Raw genomic sequence first — 18,572 nt, forward strand, 5'->3', positions numbered from 1 at the left:
ACTTTGGGAGGCCGAGGCGGACAGATCACGAGGTCAGGAGTTCAAGACCAGCCTGACTAACATGGTAAAACCCCATCTCTACTAAAAATACAAAAATTAGCTGGGCGTGGTGGCACACGCCTGTAATCCCAGCTACTCAGGAGGGTGAGGCAGGAGAATCGCTTGACCCCAGGAGGCGGAGATTGCAGTGAGCCGAGGTCGTGCCACTGCACTCCAGCCTGGGTGAGAGAGCAAAACTCCGTCTCAAAAAAAAAAAAAAGAAAAGAAATTCAGGCCGGATGCAGTGGCTCACATCTGTAATCCCGACATTTTGGGAGGCCAAGGCGCTTGAGGCCTAGAGTTCAAGACCAGCCTGGGCAACATAGTGAGACCCCATCTCTATAAAAAATTTAAACATAGTCCAGGCGCGGTGGCTCACACCTGTAATCCCAGCACTGTGGGGGGCCTAGGTGGGCGGATCACGAGGTCAGGAGTTCGAGACCAGCCTGACCAGTATGGTGAAACCCCATCTCTACTAAAAATACAAAAAATCAGCTGGGCATGGTGGTGCATGCCTGTAATCCCAACTACTCAGGAGACTGAGGCAGGAGAATCACTTGAACCTGGGAGGCGGAGGTTGCAGTGAGCCAAGATCGTGCCACTGCACTCCAGCCTGGGCTACAGAGTGAGACTCCGTCTCAAAAAAAAAAAAAAAAAAAAAAAATGTAAACATTAGCTGGTCATGGTATTTCTTGGTTGTATTCCTAGCTGCTTGGAAGGCTGAGATGGGAGGACTGCTTGAGCCTGCAGTGAGCTATGATTGTGGCACTGCACTCCAGCCTGGACAACATGGCGAAACACCATCTTTAAAAATAAAATCCAGTCTGACAATGTTTGTCTTTAATTGAAATGACTATTTGCATTTAATGCATTTATTGAAATGGTTGAATTTATGTCTGGTATCTTGCTGTTTTTTTTTTTTATTTTGTCTCCTCTGTTTTTGTTGCTTATCTCCTTGTATTTTTATTATTAGTTTTGGTCTTTTGGATTAATCCAGTTGTTTTAAATTATACTACTAGAAAAATTCTTCTAGCAGGATCCTATTTCGTCGATGGTCTTTTGTAATCCACCCAGGCTTCCACCTTCTCTGTGGCTAGAAACAGGACCGTCCAGAAGTCACCTGTAACTGCCCTATCTTGCAAGTTCTGATTTTGGCAAAAAAAAAAAAAAAAAGCCTTGACAAGGTTGGATTCACTTCTTTCCCTGGATTGTGTGTCATCCAAGTACGTGAGACATCTGGTAGTGCATTTCAGAGAGAGGAGTATCTGATATGTGTGTGGAGGCAGCCATCTTTTCCTGAAAGTCCTTTTAGGAATCATTATTTCTGGTCCTCTGAAGTTTGCCGCTACCACTCATAAATATCTATCCACACCCCTTACAAGAAGAATAAGGAAGATCTTAAGACCTAGAAGGAAAACTGATTGCAGACCAGGCTTGGTGGCTCAGTGCCTGTAATCCCAGCACTTTGGGAGGCCAAGGAGGGCAGATTGCTTGAGCTCAGCAGTTCGAGGCCAACCTGGGCAACATAGTGAATCCCTGTCTCTACAGAAAAAAAAAAAAAAAAAACCCACCCCAAAATCAAAACTGAAGGTAGTGTCAGTGTATATATGGAGTCCCTTGTGCTGAAAGTCAAAGCAGCTTCATTTTGGGGCCTCAAGAGCTCCAGCTCTGGGCTCTTCACCTCTAAGCCCATGGGCAGTGCCCGCCCAGTGGTGTGTATAGATCGGAGGCTGCAGGGCCTCACCCTTAGCTGCAGCTGTCGCGTGCTGGGGAGCCTGTGCAGGAGGGTACAAGTAGGAAAGTGCCATCTGCATGGGAAGAAAAATGCAGCATCCTTGTAGTGCGGATGGGGTCCAGGAGACCCAGGAGCTGCCCAGAGGACCTGGTGGCATGCTGTAGAAAGCAGCCAGGTAGGTATCTGGGGCCAGGAGAGGTTTTGGAGCTGAGATGAGATGTGTAGACATCAAGTGAGTTTGAATTAGCCAAAGCCAGAGGCTGTGGGAGTGTGGCTGGACGATGGAGGCTCCCGTGTCAGGGGTCCTAGGGCATCACCGGCTTTACAGTCAGACAAACCTGGGCATTTACATCTGTGGTCAGCCTTTTGTTTTTCTAAGTAAAAAATTAGATAAGATAAATTCCATCTACTATTACTATAATTTTTAAAATGTTTCATGTAACATTGAAAAGATTTGTAATCTCACAGTAAAGTTTTAACTTTGTGAAAGATGTAGGCTTTATGTTTTCACTTTCTATCAGAATAGTGAAAACTTTGTTGCTAACCAGCCCTGGCCTGCAGAATGACATGTGAGACACTAGGAAGGACTGTCCAGACAAAGACAGCAAGAGCTGGGATGTTTGGGAAGCAGAGGAGGGGCTGGATCAGTGGTGATTCCTCAGGTGCCTATGGCAAGACCTAGTGCCCAGTTGGTGTATGTGTGAGGAGGTGCCTGCTTCAGAGAGAACCCTGGGTGTGATTCAGCAAGATGGGGACGATGAGTGGATGGGCCGGGTGGCTGGGGGAGGCAGAGGAGTGAGCGCAGGGTCAGGCAGCATCAGCTGTCTTGATTTTGACTTGCTGAGTTTGCTCACAAATGTGAGACTTTCAGAGGGGAGATGTCCAGTGTTCACTCAGGACAGAAGACATCCCTGACACATGGGAGAGACACCTGGGCGCATTCGCCTAACAGAACTACAGAGCAAGCAAGAGCATTGAGGGGCATGTCGAGCACGCTGGTGGGTGGGGGACAGTGTGGGGAAGGAGGGCAAAGGAGGGGGTTAGCCCAGAGGAGAACCTGGGGAGGCAGGTCCTGGAGCTGGGGGTGCAGCCTCAGAGCTGTTGAGCAGCTGGGAAGTCTGCTAACTTTGTGAGCCCAACCTGGAGAGGTCTGATGGGAATGGTTACTGGGGAGGGCCCCCACCATCCTGAGCTCTGGGAATCTTGTGTGTTCATGCTGCAGATGGACTTCCAGGACTTGGGTCTAGTGTTGCTGAGGGTGGATCTGCAGAGGTGAGAGAAATGACCCCTTTGGACTTGGGTCTAGTGTTGCTGAAGGTGGATTTGCAAGGGTGAGAGACGTGACCCCTTTGCCCTCGTTTGCAGCTCTGCGGCCGTCACGATGTTCTGGAAGTTTGACTTGAACACCACGTCCCATGTTGACAAGCTGCTGGACAAGGAGCATGTGACGCTGCAGGAGTTAATGGATGAAGATGACATCTTGCAGGAGTGTAAGGCTCAGAACCAGAAGCTGCTGGACTTCCTGTGCAGGCAGCAGTGCATGGAGGAGCTGGTGAGCCTCATCACACAGGATCCGCCCCTGGACATGGAGGAGAAGGTCCGCTTCAAGTATGTACCAAAGCTGTGACGGGCCAGTACGCCAGGCAGTGCTGCAGGCAGGCCGCAGGCAGTGTCTGAGGATGGCCATAGTTGGGGATTTCTGATGAAGAAGCGAGCCGTAAAAATCCACCCCATGTGAGAAGTGAGGAGGGCACTCCCATGGGGTCTGAGGTTGAAGAGTTTGGAGATTGGGTGCAGTGGCTCACGCCTGTAATCCCAGCACTTTGGGAGGCTGAGGAGGTTGGATTAATTGAGCCCAGAAATTTGAGACCAGCCTGGGCAACATAGTGCGACCCTGTCTCTATTAAATTTTTTTTTTTAAATTAGCCAGATGTGGTGTTGTAGACCTCTGGTTCCAGCTACTCGGGAGGCCGAGGTAGGAGGATCACTTGAACTTGGGAGGTTGAGGCTGCAGTGAGCCATGATTGTGCCACTGCACTCCAGCCTGGGTGACAAGAGTGAAACCCTGTCTTTAAAAAAAAAAAAAAAAAAAAAAAAGGCCGGGCACAGTGGCTCATGTCTGTAATCCCAGCACTTTGGGAGGCCGAAGCAGGCAGATCGCTAGGTCAGGAGATTGAGACCATCCTGGCTAATACGGTGAAACCCCGTCTCTACTAAAAATACAAAAAATTAGCCGGGCATGGTGGCGGGCGCCCGTAGTCCCAGAGGCTACTGTACTCAGGAGGCTGAGGCAGGAGGTTGGTGTGAACCCGGGAGGTGGAGCTTGCAGTGAGCTGAGATCACACCACTGCACTGCATCCTGGGTGACAGAGTGTGACTCTGTCTCAAAAAAAAAAAAAAAAAAAAGAGTTTTGACTGTCTTGTGCCGGCATTTTTTCATTCTAAGTAAAGTTAATTTTAGGTTGGTACACGTCAGAGTGTTTTGAGTGGCAATATGTTGGGAAAAAAAGACTGATCCCATGCTAGAGATGCAGGTGTTATTGCAGCATAAGGCTGTACTGTCAGCAGGGTTGGCTCCAGGCCACAAAATGGCTAGGCAGGAGAGATATGCAGTATCTGACCTACAGTCCTGGGACATGCTTCATTTTAGGGTCTTCAGCTCGAAGGAAATAGATCATTGTCATTCGTGGTACCGTCCGTTCTCAGAGTTTTTCCTGAAACGCCCATTCAGCCCTGGCCAGGATGCTAGGAGATGACACAGAGGGAGGGGGCAGTGTGGCGAGATGGCTGGAGCCTCAGGGCCTTGAGTCAGGACAGAAGGGTGAGCAAGGATGGGGCTGGGGCGAGAGGGAGAACAGGGCGGAGCTGGCCTCCAGCTCCTCATGGTGCAGATCTGCGAGGCACACATGACCCGCAGTGTCCCCAGGTGACGCCTCATTAGGAAGTGGGAGATACATACAGGTTAGCAAACCTCGGCCTGCAGGTCATGTCCTTTTCCGTGTGTCCTGTGAGTGAAGAATGGTTTTACATTATTTTTTATTTTAGTTTTTTGAGACAAGGTCTCACTCCATCGCCCAGGCTGGGGTGCAGTGGCATGATCTCGGCTCACTAGAGTCTCTGCCTCCTGGTCCCAAGTGATCCTCCCGCCTTAGCCTCCCTAGTAGCTGGCACTACAGGTGCGTGCCACCATGCCCGGCTAATTTATTTTTGTATTTTTTTTGTAGAGACGGGGTTTCACCACGTTGCACAGGCTGGTTTCAGACTCCTGGGCTCAAGCAATCCACCCACCTCGGCCTCCCAAAGTGCTGGGATTATAGGTGTGAGCCACTGTGCCTGGCTCGTTTTACCTTTACCTGTTTAAATGGTTGGGGAAAAAAAAATCGAAGCTCGGGCATCGTGGCTCATACCTGTAATCCCAGCACTTTGGGAGGCCAAGGCGGGCGGATCACCTCAGGTCAGGAGTTCGAAACCAGCCTGGCCAACATGGTGAAACCCCGTCTCTAATAAAAATACAAAAATTAGCAGGGCGTAGTGGCGCACGCCTGTAATCTCAGCTACTCCGGGAGGCTGAAGCAGGAGAATGGCTTGAACCCAGGAGGTGGAGGTTGCAGTGAGCTGAGATTGCGCCATTGCACTCCAGCCTGGGCAACAGAGCAAGACTCTGGCTCAAAAAAAAAAAAAAAAAAAAGCCGGGTGTGGTGGCTCACACCTGTAATCCCAACACTTTGGGAGGCCAAGGCGGGCAGATCACGAGGTCAGGAGTTCGAGACCAGCCTGACCAACATGGTGAAACCCCGTCTCTACTAAAAATACAAAAATTTGCTGGGTGTGGTGGCATGTGCCTATAATCCCAGCTACTCAGAAGGCTGAGGCAGGAGAATTGCTTGAACCTGGGAGGTAGAGGTTTCAGTGAGCCAAGATCGCTCCACTGCACTCCAGCCTGGGCGACAGAGTGAGACTCCGTCTCAAAAAAAAAAAAAAAAAATCAAAGGAAGAATATTTTGTCACACACATGAAAACGATATGAAACACGTTTCAGTATCCACCAATAAAGTCTTGTTAGACACAGCCACACTCATCCACGTCTCATAGCGTTGAGCAGCTCCAGCAGGGGCCACGGCAAATAATTCCTCCCTGGCCATTTATAGAAACTCTTTGCTGGCCTTTGTCTTAGAAGGAAGATAAAGCAGGATAGTGAGCCAGGGTGTCCCTGTGGCAGGGGGTGGTCAGTACTTCATTTAGGGTGGTCAGGCGTCCTCTTAGGTAAGGGGAGCAGTGCTGGGTTGGGGAGGAGAGTTCTAGCCTGAGCAGGGCCTTGCTGTAAGGAACTGAGGGTTAGGGTGGGGCAGCTGCAGCCAGAAGCTGCTGTGGCTTCTGGTCACACCTGCTGTGTCAGCATCACTGTTGACAGTCCCCATCCCTCCCACTTTCAAATGTGGCCCAGTCTGGTGACAAATTAGAGTTGAGAGACAGGTATGGGGCAAGGAGAGTGGGGAGGGGTCTTCTGGATCAGGACAGGAATCCCAGAGTAGCATCAGTGAGCCGGGAGAGTCTCATAGAGTTTGGGAGAAATCAGTAGTAGATAAGTACAGAACCAAGCAAACAGAGCAAGAGGACTATGAACCTGGGGGGAGACTTCCGTAAGTAAGCAAAGATGCCCTGAGTAAACAACCCAGGTCAGGATATCCATTTAAATTACCCTGTGACTTCGGAGGGAGAGCAAGAGGACTAGGGGAAGACTTCCCTAAGTAAGCAGAGATGCCCTGAGTAAACAATCCAGGTCAGGATATCCATCTAAATTACCCTGTGACTCGGAGGGAGGGAAAGGGAGAGGGAAGTCGGGTGGTGGGAAAGCTTTGCCTTCCATTGTAGGAAGTTAATTCATAATGTCTAAAATTGGTGAACAAAGAAGAAATGTATGTGTGTATTATTTAGAAACATGGAGGTTAACGTTGGAGAAAACTGCTGAAAGAGTCCAGTGATTGCCTCTGAGGAGCATGACTTGGGATGCTGGGGGGCAGGGGGCCTGTCCTCACCAGCCCTGTCATCTCTGAGTTTTTCTCTGAGGAGTGTGACTTGGGATGGGGGCAGGGGGGCCTGTCCTCACCAGCCTTGTCATCTCTGAGCTTTTCTCTGAGGAGTGTGACTTGGGATGGGGGCAGGGGGGCCTGTCCTCACCAGCCTTGTCATCTCTGAGCTTTTCTCTGAGGAGAGTGTGACTTGGGATGGGGGCGGGGGGGCCTGTCCTCACCAGCCTTGTCATCTCTGAGCTTTTCTCTGAGGAGTGTGACTTGGGATGGGGGCAGGGGGCCTGTCCTCACCAGCCTTGTCATCTCTGAGCTTTTCTCTGAGGAGTGTGACTTGGGATGGGGGCGGGGGGGCCTGTCCTCACCAGCCTTGTCATCTCTGAGCTTTTCTCTGAGGAGTGTGACTTGGGATGGGGGCAGGGGGGCCTGTCCTCACCAGCCCTGTCATCTGAGGTTTTAAAGCACGTGCACATATCACTTGTATAAAAAACATGAAAGTCAGGTGTGGTGGCTCACGCTGGTAATCCCAGCACTTTGGGAGGCTGAGGTGGGAGGATCACTTACGCCCAGGAGTTGAAGACCAGCCTGGGCAATATAGCGAGACTCCATCTCTTTTTTTTTTTTTTTTTTGGTCTGAGATGGAGTCTCACTCTGTCGCCCAGGCTGGAGTACGGTGGTGCGATCTCGGTTCACTACAACCTCCGCGTCCCAGGTTCAAGTGATTCTCCTGCCTCAGGCTCCCGAGTTGCTGGGATTACAGACATGCATCACCACACCCAGCTAATTTTTTGTATTTTTAGTAGAGACAGGGTTTCACCATGTTGGCCAGGCTGGTCTCGAATTCCCGACCTCAGGTGATCCATCTGCCTCAGCCTCCCAAAGTGCTGGGATTACAGGCATGAGCCACTGCACCCGGCCCCCATCTCTATTTCTTTATTTAAAAAAAAAAACATATTAAGACTTTTTTTTTTTTTTTTTTGGAAACACAGTCCTTTCTGTCAACCAGGCTGGAGTGCAGTGGCGCGATCTTGGCTCACTGCAACCTCCGCCTCCTGGGTTCAAGCAGTTCTCCTACCTCGGTCTCCTTAGTAGCTGGGACTACAGGCGCACACCAGCATGCCTGGCTAATTTTTTGTATTTTTAGAAGAGACGGGGTTACCATGTTGGCCAGGCTGGTCTTGAACTCTTGAGCTCAGGCAATCTGCCTGCCTCGGCCTCCCAAAGTGCTAGGATAGTGCTAAGATTACAGAAGACACTTTTTTTGAGGCTAGTCAAAGTGCAGCAGTGTTTACACCTAATTGGTCACAAGCAGTTAAGATTTCTTTCTTCCTTCTTCAGTCTGTCTGCGTCACATGACTAGCCTTGTAAATAAAGTGAAACAAAAAACACTTTTTTTGAGAAATAGAATAGGGGCCGGGCGTGGTGGCTCACGCCTGTAATCCTAGCACTTTGGGAGGCTGAGGCGGGCGGATCATGAGGTCAGAAGATGGAGACCATCCTGACTAACACGGTGAAACCCCGTCTGTACTAAAAATACAAAGAATTAGCCAGGCGTGGTGGCCGGTGCCTGTAGTCCCAGCTACTTGGGAAGCTGAGAGAGTAAGTGCACTCCAGCCTGCATGACACAGCAAGACTGTCATCTCTTTAAAAAATAAAAAAAGATGGAGAAGATATAAATATATATGTAGACCAGGAGTTGGCAGACTGTATCTATGAAAAGTCAGAGAGTAAATACTTTAGGCTTTGCAGGTTGTAAGGTCTCTGTTGCAACGGCTCAACTCTGAAGTTGTAGCATGAAAGCAGCTACAGAAAATAGTAAACAAATGGATGGGGCTACATTCCAAGAAGGCTTCATTTATACAGAGCAGCACCTGTGCTTCGCGACTCTGCTATCCTTGCCTAGTGGCACTGCCAGGTTAAACACCGCCTCCCGCAACCTGTTAGCCTTGGAGGTCAGGGTTCTCCTGCAGACCTGGCAGAACACCTCCATGACCACAGGCTCAATTATGGGAGGACTCTTCTTGAAAGTGGAGAATTTGCCTGAGCTGTCTGTGCTCAAGAGAAGCTGCACTTGGTTTGGGTGGATTGGGATCAGGTAGCAGCCACTGACCCTGCTTAATTAAAGCCAGGGGCTGCTCCAGGGAGGTGAGGCCCACACGCTGCCTCTTCCTAAGGCCTCACATGCAGCTAGCCCTGCTTCTGCGGAGCAGCCCTTGGCTGAAAAGCCACTGTGACTGTAAGATGGCTGGTCACCTTCTGGAGTCAGAGCACTGCCTGCCCAGGCCACAGCAGAGGGCGCCACCCCAGGGCTGGAGGCAGCAGCAGTCACATGGTCAGCCCTAGAGCCTGGGGATGCTCCTGGTCTTTTCGTGAGCTCTTGTCTAGTTTGCTTGCCAAGATCTGGATTATTTGAGAAATAAGACAGAAGAGTCAGTAAGAGACACCAAGCTGTCGCTTTCATTACTCATAAAGCAGTGTCATTTATAACTCTGAGCTGTGGGCTTCCTCATTCCTGATTGCAGAATTAGAACTGCTCACCCAGTGGGAAGCAGCAGTGGGTCACAGCGGGCCCCCAGGAAGCACCCCCTGCCGCAGAGAGACTTGCTGCACTCAGGGCAGAACTGAAAGAAAGACAGCGTCTCCACCAAGGGAAACACTGGGAGGAAGGGAACTTTGCCATAACAGTTCCTGGGCCACTGACCATCCACTCCACATCCATTGTCCATCTCCTGTCATGGCTTCTTCCTCTTCTTCGGTTGACTTCCTGTGGTAAATTACACTCTGTTAAAACAGCTTCCTGAGATGGAGTTCGTGGGTGGTGATGTTTAGGGCATCGGGCCTGCGTGTTTGAGACCCTCTGATTAGAAGTTCAGACTGGGCATTACCCCCTGGGCTTTGGGAGCCTCCGTGTTGTCCTCTAGTCTCACAAGTCTGATGTAGCAAGCTCCTGGCTCACGTGTGTCACCTGTTTTCTCTCCTCTCTGAGGGCATTTAGGTTCTTTTCTAAGCCCTATTGTTTCTCAATTTCCCAGTAATGTGGAATTATTCCATGGGTCAGGACAGGGGATCCCCAAAGAGCATCATTGAGCCAAGAGAGTTTCATAGTCAGAGCTTGGGCGAATTTAGTAATAGGTAAGTACAAAATCAAGCAAACAGAAAAATATTGACTCTAAGGGAAAAGTTGTATAAGTAAGCAAAGATATCCCGAGTAGACAAATGAGGTCAACAGTGGATATCCATTTCTTTCATTTGTTGTTCTGGGCTCCCTGAACCCTTTTAGTCTGTACATTTGTGACATTAGCTGAGGGAAATTTCTCATATTGTTTCTTTGATATTTTCCCTCTTTTCTCTTTCTGGGACTTCTAATGAGGTGTTAGATTACTCAAATTAATGCTTTCCTTATTTTTGCTTTTAATGTTTTGTACTTTGCCTTTTTGGCCTACATCTGAGAGACTTCTTCATCTTTTAAGTTCTCATCCTTTTATTGACTTTTCAAAGTTCTACCATTATTTTTTGTTTGTTTTTTAGATGTGAGGTCTTGCTATGTTGCCCAGTCTGGACTCAAACTCCTGGGCTCAAGTGATCCTCCCATCTCAGCCTCCCAAGCAGTTGGAACCACAGGTGCCACCATGCTTAACATCTGTCATATTTTAAAATTTTATTTTTTTTTTGAGATGGAGTCTGGCTCTGTCGCCCAGGCTGGAGTGAAGTGGCACGATCTCGGCTCACTGCAACCTTCACCTCCGGGTTCACGCCATTCTCCTGCCTCAGCCTCCCGTGTAGCTGGAACTACAGACGCCCACCACCACGCCCGGCTAATTTTTTATATTTTTTAGTAGAGACGGGATTTCACCGTGTTAGCCAGGATGGTCTCGATCTCCTGACCTCGTGATCCGCCCGCCTCGGCCTCCCAAAGTGCTGGATTACAGGCGTGAGCCACCGCGCCAGGCCAATTTTTTTTTTTTTTTTCTGAGACAGAGTCTGTCTCGCTCTGTCGCCCAGGCTGGAGTACAGTGATGCGATCTTGGCTCACTGCAAGCTCTGCCTCCTGGGTTCACACCATTCTCCCGCCTCAGCCTCCCTTTTTCTTTTTTCTTTTTTTTTTTGAGACGGAGTCTCACTCTGTCGCCCAGGCTGGAATGCAGTGGCACAATCTCGGCTCACTGTAAGCTTCGCCTCCTGGGTTCACGCCATTCTCCTGCCTCAGCCTCTTGAGTACAGGCGCCTGCCACCACGCCCGGCTAATTTTTTTGTATTTTTTAGTAGAGACAGGGTTTCACCGTGTTAGCCAGGATGGTCTTGATCTCCTGACCTAGTGATCCGCCCGCCTTGTTCTCCCAGAGTGCTGGGGTTACAGGCGTGAGCCACCACGCCTGGCCCATATTTTTAATTTCTAAGAGCAGTTTCTTATTCTCATATATTTTAATAAAAGCTTCAAGTTCTCATTCATGGATACACAGTCTTAATGTGTCATCTCTGAGAACATTGTAGTTTAAAAGAGTTTCCTTCTGTTCTCTACACTTGCTCTCCTCCGTGTGCCTTGTTTTCTGCTTGGTCAGCACCACGCTTCTTTCATAAGTGGGGCCCTAGATCCTGCACAGAGTTTGGGATCTGCATGGGGCTTACTCACCACAGCTTAGAGGCCACTAGTTGACTTTTCTCTTTGTCCCATTATTTTTCCCAGAAAAGAATCCTTCTAGCTCTCCCCTGTGGGGAATGGACCTGTCAGTATCAGGAGCTGAGTTGGGAAGAGGGCTGGGGGCACCCCAGTTTCTTTTTTTTTTTTTTTTTTACCAAGTTCCCTATTTCTGGATGGTGTCTGGTCACCCTGTGGCTGTGCCTGGTGTCCCTGGCCCCAGGAGCCATAAGGAAGGGACATGTCCCACTGCCCTGGCCTGTAAGTTCTCAGCCCACCCTGCCCTTACTGGCCGCCAAATCAGTGTCCAGGCCTCTCTGGAGTTCTGTGGCCTGAATTCTCATCTCTAGTTGATGCCCCTTCTGTGGGCTCCTGAAACTCAGCCTTCCCTGTGCCAAGTCAGTCTTCACGTGGCCGGCTGCTTCAGTCCTCCAGGCTGGTTCGTCGTTTCTGCCTCTCCATTCTTGTCTTTTTAATTCTTTGTGTTATTTGAGATGGAGTTTGAGAGGGAATATGAACAAGCCTGTGTGCTCCATCTGCTGTGTTTGACTGGAATTTCTATACCTTGTATACATTTTTAAAACTACTAGAGCAGCACCTGTCATTTGAAGAATAACTGTAAAATGTTGATAAAGGAAAAAAGAAAATCTTAGTCCCTCCATCTAGAGAATCAGTGTCTTCTAGCTTGGTTTGTGCCATGTGTGCACACGTTTGTCCGTGTGTAGACAAGATGAGTTTGGAGCTGGGTGTGGTGGCTCACGCCTGTAATCCCAGCACTTTGGGAGGCCAAGGCAGGCAGATCACTTGAAGTCAGGAGTTCGAGACCAGCCTGGCCATCATGGTAAAACCCCGTCTCTACCAAAAATACAAAAGTTAGCCGAGCATGGTGGTGCATGCCTGTAATCCCAGCTACACAGGAGGCTGAGACAGGACGTGAACCCGGGAGGCGGAGGTTGCAGTGAGCTGAGATAGCACCACTGCACTCCAGCCTGGGCAACAGAGCAAGACTCTGTCTCAAGAAAAAAAAAAATCAGTTTGTTCCCTGTGGTATTGAGACACTTCTTCAAGGAATGATTTGGATGTTTCTCTGCTTCCTTACGTTTGATCTTCCTCCTCACCCCATGGGATGTGACTTCCTCCCCCTGCCCAGCTCACCGGTCTTAGTGTTAGAGATCTGGTAGACCTGGGGCCTCACTGTGGCCTTTGAGGCTGCCAACCTGGCCCTCCTCTCCTGCTCTCTGGTCCTCCTGCCCTGAGGGACCATGTGTTGTCCACTTGCTGGCCAGCCCCTCTGACATCCCACAGGGTGGGTACTGCCTGCCCCAATTAACAGACAAGGACACTAAAGGCCAGAAAGTTCGGCTAGTGAGGTCGGCTAGTGAGGGGATGAGCTTGGGCCTGCCCCAGCCCCCTGCGCCAGCTCTCAGGCCCCCTCTCTGCCCACACATCCAGCTTGCAGTGCCCCTGTGCCCTGACCCTACTCCATCGGGCCCCAGCCAGGTCCTCTCTCCCAAACCCAAGCCTGCTGGGCCACTCTTTGACCCTCTACACTCCACCTGCCCTTCACAGGCGCTGTTCCTCAGAGCTCTAAAAGTGGCACTTTCTTGTCTGGGCTGATGAGGCACACCCACCCCCCAGCCAGCCGAGATCATTGCGTTTCTTCCCCTTCCACACTTGGTCGGCTGCCAGGCCTGGCCAGCTGTTTCCTATAGAGTCTCTCAAACCCTGGCCCCTCCAGCCGGTCGCGTGGACCACCTTGGCTTAGGTCCAGTGCTAGGGCTGCCTCTCTACCTGGCGGTGGCCACATGTTGGCAAGAGAAGGAAGGTCATAGCAGCTGACCTTGAGCACACATTTGCTGTGTGACAGGCATGGGCAGGCACTGTCACCTGCACATTCTATTTTTTTTTTTTTTTTTTTCTGGAAACAAGAGTCTCGCTCTGTCACCCAGACTGGAGTGCAGTGGCTTGATCTCATCTCACTGCAACCTCTGCCTCCCAGGTTCAAGTGATTCTCCTGCCTCAGCCTCCCCAGTAGCTGGCATTACAGGCGCCCACCACCACACCTGGCTAATTTTTGTATTTTTAGTAGAGATGGGGTTTCACCATGTTGGCCAGAATGGTGTCAATCTCCTGACCTCAGGTGATCCACCTGCCTCGGCCTCTCAAAGTGCTGGGATTACAGGTGTGAGCCACTGCACCCGGCATATATTCTTTTTTTAAGTCAGAGTCTTACTCTGCCACCCAGGCTGGAGTGCAGTGGTGTGATCTTGGCTCACGGCAACCTCTGCCTCCCGGGCTCAAGCCATCCTGCGCCTCCCGGGCTCAAGCCATCCTGCCACCTCAGCCTCCCATGTAGCTGAGACCACAGGCATGTGCCACCTCGCCTGGCTAATTTTTCTTTCTTTCTTGTTTTTTTTTTTTTTTTTTGGAGAGACGGAGTTTCACCATGTTGCCCAGGCTAGTCTCCCACTCCTGAGCTCAAGAGTGATCCACCTGCCCACCCTCCCAAAGTGCTGGGGTTATAGGTGTAAGCCACCGTGCCCGTCCTTACCTGCACGTTCAGATGAGAAAACCCAGACACAGAGAGGACAGGTCACTTGCTGGTGTCAGGACAGGCCTGTTCTGAGACAGCCATTCCTACAGGACGCTCCCACTGGGTGGGCCCTGGGCTCCTCCCCAGCATTCCCAGAGGCAGGGTCATGCACCAGGCCTTGCTATGGGGGCTGCTGTTGAGGGCTGCGTCCTGGGCTGTGGGGTGTACCTCTCCTGGGGCGATGGCTGTCACCCACCTCTGTCTACCAGTTACAAAAGAGGGAGCAAAGTACCTTATTCACAGGTGTTGGTATTTCTTAGTCATAACGTTCTTGCGTAGTGCCTCATCCCTCACATGGTTCCTGAGCGGCTGATGGGTGTTTCTCCCGTCTAGGGATGGAGTGGTCTGTGTTTGTTGATGGAAGGGGCATGGCTTAGAAGGAAAGGAGAGGCTCAGTGGAGGGGAAGATGGAAATGGCCACAGATGTGGCCTCGCGGAAACAGTGTGGTTAGACTGGAGGTGAGAGGCCTGGAGGGAGGCAAGAGGCCTGGCAGGCGAGTGCGAAGGCCTGGAGGGAGGTGAGAGGCCTGGAGAGAGGTGAGAGGCCTGGCAGGCGAGTGTGAAGGCCTGGAGAGAGGTGAGAGGCCTGGAGAGAGGCGAGAGGCCTGGCAGACGAGTGTGAAGGCCTGGAGAGAGGTGAGAGGCCTGGCAGGCAAGTGTGAAGGCCTGGAGAGAGGTGAGAGGCCTGGAGAGAGGCGAGAGGCCTGGCAGACGAGTGTGAAGGCCTGGAGAGAGGTGAGAGGCCTGGAGAGAGGTAAGAGGCCTGGAGAGAGGTGAGAGGCCTGGCAGGCGAGTGTGAAGGCCTGGAGAGAGGTGAGAGGCCTGGAGAGAAGTGAGAGGCCTGGCAGGCGAGTGTGAAGGCCTGGAGAGAGGTGAGAGGCCTGGAGAGAAGTGAGAGGCCTGGCAGGCGAGTGTGAAGGCCTGGAGAGAGGTGAGAGGCCTGGAGAGAGGTAAGAGGCCTGGCAGGTGAGTGTGAAGGCCTGGAGAGAGGTGAGAGGCCTGGAGAGAGGTGAGAGGCCTGGAGAGAGGCGAGAGGCCTGGCAGGTGAGTGTGAAGGCCTGGAGGGAGGTGAGAGGCCTGGAGAGAGGTGAGAGGCCTGGAGAGAGGTGAGAGGCCTGGCAGGCGAGTGTGAAGGCCTGGAGAGAGGTGAGAGGCCTGGAGAGAGGTGAGAGGCCTGGAGAGAGGCGAGAGGCCTGGAGAGAAGTGAGAGACCTGCAGAGAGGTGAGAGGCCTGGAGAGAGGTGAGAGACCTGGCAGGCGAGTGTGAAGGCCTGGAGAGAGGTGAGAGGCCTGGCAGGCGAGTGTGAAGGCCTGGAGGGAGGTGAGAGACCTGGCAGGCGAGTGTGAAGGCCTGGAGAGAGGCGAGAGGCCTGGAGAGAGGCGAGAGGCCTGGAGAGAGGTGAGAGGCCTGGAGAGAGGTGAGAGACCTGGAGAGAGGCGAGAGGCCTGGAGAGAGGTGAGAGACCTGGCAGGCGAGTGTGAAGGCCTAGAGGGAGGTGAGAGGCCTGGAGAGAGGTGAGAGGCCTGGAGAGAGGTGAGAGGCCTGGCAGGCGAGTGTGAAGGCCTAGAGGGAGGTGAGAGACCTGGCAGGCGAGTGTGAAGGCCTGGAGAGAGGAAAAGCCGGAAGACTGAGAAAGGTTATTTAAAGAATGGGAGTAGGGTCAGAAAATGTCAGATATCAGCGTATAGGGCATGAGGAGCATAGAAGGTATGTTAAAAAACTGAACTTCTAGTAGTCAGAAATACCAGCTGGTCACAGGTAGTCACGTTTTTGTTCTGTTCTGAGGTCTGTAGTGTTTGTTTGATCACGTGGGTCTGCTTCCTAAGAAGCAGACTATGTAAGCAGCTTCCTAAGAGTTGGAGAAGTCTAATTTCACCTCCAGTGCTTGGACTGTGCCCTTTTAGATATCCAAACACAGCCTGTGAGCTTCTGACTTGTGATGTGCCGCAGATCAGCGACCGCCTCGGTGGGGACGAGAGCCTGCTGAGCCTCCTGTACGACTTCTTGGACCATGAGCCGCCTCTCAATCCTCTGCTCGCCAGTTTTTTCAGCAAGACCATTGGCAATCTCATTGCAAGAAAAACCGAACAGGTAAATCACGTGCAAAGCCTCCGTGACTTGGGGCACCGTCATGGTGGATGCTGACGTGTCCTGCTGTGAGCCTGGCGGTGCGACTCATCCTCCGGCCGCGGGAACAGCATCTGTGACTCTTCTGCGCAACACGTGGAGCAGTGTGTGGGTTTTGCCAGTCTGGGAGCTGGAATTTGAAAGAGTGTTTCTGGCTGGGTGCGGTGGCTCAAGCCTGTAATCCCAGCACTTTGGGAGGCCGAGCTGGGCAGATCACTTGAGGTCAGGAGTTCAAGACCAGCCTGGCCAACATGACAAAACCCTGTCTCTACTAAAAGTACAAAAATTAGCTGAGCGTGGTGGTGCGCACCTGTCATCCCAGCTACTTGGGAGGCTGAGGCAGGAGAATCGCTTGAACCTGGGAGGCAGAGGTTGCAGTGAGCTGAGATCGTACCACTGCACTCCAGCCTGGGCAACAGAGTGAGACTGTCTCAAAAAAAAGAAGGAGTGTTTCTTATAGCTGGCTCTGGAATAAGCAGCACTTCCCACCATCCCTGGGAGCTGCACAGTGCCCCAAAGTAGGCCATCTTGTGCTGTCACTGACCAGGTGGAGGTGTGAGGTCCTGGGGCATCATGGCAGGACCTTGGACATCCACTTTCTCAGGTCTGCAGCTTCATCTGTCTGGGTGGCGTGTCTGTCTGTCCAGAGCATTTATTCTTTCAAAACAAAGGTCACTTCTAGCATTAGACTTCTGCAAAAGCAGTTAGTGAATTCATCTCAGCCAGCTGTAACGGGGTCTTCCTGGAGTCCATCCTTGCTCCTGCCTTACATGTGACCTGACCTGGGCTTCTGCCCCTCCAGGCTGTGGACACACAGGTAGAGAGGCGTGGTGGTCCCTGTGCCTGCACCCTGCAGTCCGCCTTGGCCAGTCTTCTTTCCTGTGTCATGCCCCACCCGCCCATCCCTGATGGGAGTATTTTAAAACAAATCCCAGACACCAGATTATTTCTCATGTAAATATTTCAGTATGTATGTACATTTATTTATTTTTGAGACAGGGTCTCACTACGCCCAGGCTAGAGTCCACTGGCTCCAACACAGCCCACTGCAGTCTCAACCTCCTCAAGCTCAGGTGATCCTCCCACCTCGGCCTCCTGAGTAGCTGGGACTACAGGCACATAACACCACACCTGGCTAGTTTTTAAAATATTTTTTGTAGAGATGGGGTTTCCCCATGTTACCCAGGCTGGTTTCGAACTCTTGGGCTCAAGTGATCTGCCTGCCCAGGCCTCCCAAAGTCCTGGGACTACAGGTGTGAGCCACGATGCCCAGCTATGTATCTCTAAAATAAAGACTTTTTTCTTTTAAATATAATCAGAATTTCATGATCACACTCCAAAAATATTAACCGTAATTGTTTCATACCATCAAACATTCAGTCAGGGCACAAACCAGTATCTTACATCTGCTTTGAGCTCTGAGAAAGCGCAGCTCCACGAAGGCCGCGGTTCCCCTTGACGACATTCAGCATGCATGTGAGTGTTCAGTGGAATGCCGTCTTCCCTTGCGCTGTAAATCTGAGAGTTGCAAGGGCCGCCAGGGGACTGCCTCACCTCAGCTCCTTCTGAAGCTGAGTGTGAGTGAAGGTCGCCAGCAGCAGTGGGTCGTGCTGGGTGTGAGGCTGCTGGCAGAATGGGAGTGGGAGTGGAGGCAGCGGGGAGCTGTGGTGTGGGCCGGGGGATTGTCGTGGCTGTGAGGTGGTAGTAGATGTTGTAAAAACCTTTACTACCTGGCCCTTGCAGCCCAGTGACTAGATGCATGTATCTCATAATTTGCCATAACCTGATCTTATTCCCCTGCCACTTTCGGATATTTTCTTTATAATTTTACTGCTTCATATAATATTTTTCTTCCATTCTCTCACCCAGTACTTAAGGCATTAAAGTAATATGAACTGAACTGTTAAACATTTCTTCTGTTGGCTGGGTGCGGTGGCTCACGCCTGTAATCCCAGCACTTTGGGAGGCCGAGGCGAGTGGATCACCTGAGGTCAGGAGTTCGAGACCAGCCTGACCAACGTGGAGAAACCCCGTCTCTACTAAAAATACAAAATTAGCCGGGCGTGGTAGCACATGCCTGTAATCCCAGCTACTCAGGAGGCTGAGGCAGGAGAATCACTTGAACCCAGGAGGCAGAGGTTGCAGTGAGCTGAGATTGCGCCATTGCACTCCAGCCTGGGCAACAAGAGCGAAACTTTCCATCACCCAGCAGCTGGCTTGTTCTCACGGCCAGCTGTGAGGCAGGGATGCCTTGAGCCTTCCTCCTGTGTTTCCTGAAACTGTGGGAGTAGCCTAAAGGTGGGGCTTCAGTGAAATGACCGTCCGCATTTTCCCCGCCCTTCATTATGAATTCTTTCAAACGTCTACAAATGAGAGAAAATATTTCATGAACCCCCATGTCTCTGTCACTCAGA

At 51.3% G+C, this 18,572-nt stretch overlaps 1 protein-coding gene and 1 non-coding gene across 60 annotated transcripts in view, besides 3 other annotated features; both read left to right on the forward strand.

Annotated features, from left to right (window-relative positions):
- The window catches only part of PPP6R2 (protein phosphatase 6 regulatory subunit 2), a 114,317-nt gene that overhangs the window by 59,980 nt on the left and 35,765 nt on the right, over positions 1-18,572 (forward strand). For 36 of the 59 annotated variants that reach the window (XM_047441654.1, XM_011530732.3, XM_047441646.1 and 33 more), the window contains 3 exons: positions 2,997-3,046; positions 3,140-3,382; positions 15,936-16,122. In XM_047441654.1, the coding sequence (XP_047297610.1) occupies positions 2,997-3,046; positions 3,140-3,382; positions 15,936-16,122 (480 nt within the window). Of the gene's footprint in view, positions 1-1,113; positions 2,773-2,996; positions 3,047-3,139; positions 3,383-15,913; positions 16,123-18,572 lie in introns of those variants that run through there. The other 23 variants (XM_011530736.4, XM_006724431.4, NM_001351643.2 and 20 more) reach the window with 8 other exon arrangements.
- Positions 7,073-7,573: an enhancer, noted in NCBI's record as "H3K4me1 hESC enhancer chr22:50836255-50836755 (GRCh37/hg19 assembly coordinates)". NCBI's record gives its function as "activates a minimal SCP1, AML or CMV promoter by ChIP-STARR-seq in naive H9 embryonic stem cells {active_cell/tissue: H9 hESC(naive)}" and the evidence as "EXISTENCE:reporter gene assay evidence [ECO:0000049][PMID:30033119]".
- Positions 8,983-9,579: an enhancer, noted in NCBI's record as "H3K27ac-H3K4me1 hESC enhancer chr22:50838165-50838761 (GRCh37/hg19 assembly coordinates)". NCBI's record gives its function as "activates a minimal SCP1, AML or CMV promoter by ChIP-STARR-seq in primed H9 embryonic stem cells {active_cell/tissue: H9 hESC(primed)}" and the evidence as "EXISTENCE:reporter gene assay evidence [ECO:0000049][PMID:30033119]".
- Positions 15,437-16,636: an enhancer, noted in NCBI's record as "MED14-independent group 3 enhancer chr22:50844619-50845818 (GRCh37/hg19 assembly coordinates)". NCBI's record gives its function as "activates an origin of replication core promoter dependent on BRD2, BRD4, P300/CBP and CDK7 cofactors, and independent of MED14, by STARR-seq in HCT116 cells {active_cell/tissue: HCT116}" and the evidence as "EXISTENCE:reporter gene assay evidence [ECO:0000049][PMID:35650434]".
- MIR12114 (microRNA 12114) lies at positions 16,689-16,771 on the forward strand. Its single transcript, NR_162128.1, has one exon. It is a non-coding gene; the product is annotated as a microRNA 12114 (primary transcript).

Source organism: Homo sapiens, chromosome 22 (assembly GCF_000001405.40).
Source record: "Homo sapiens chromosome 22, GRCh38.p14 Primary Assembly".
Classification (NCBI taxonomy): Eukaryota; Metazoa; Chordata; class Mammalia; order Primates; family Hominidae; genus Homo; species Homo sapiens.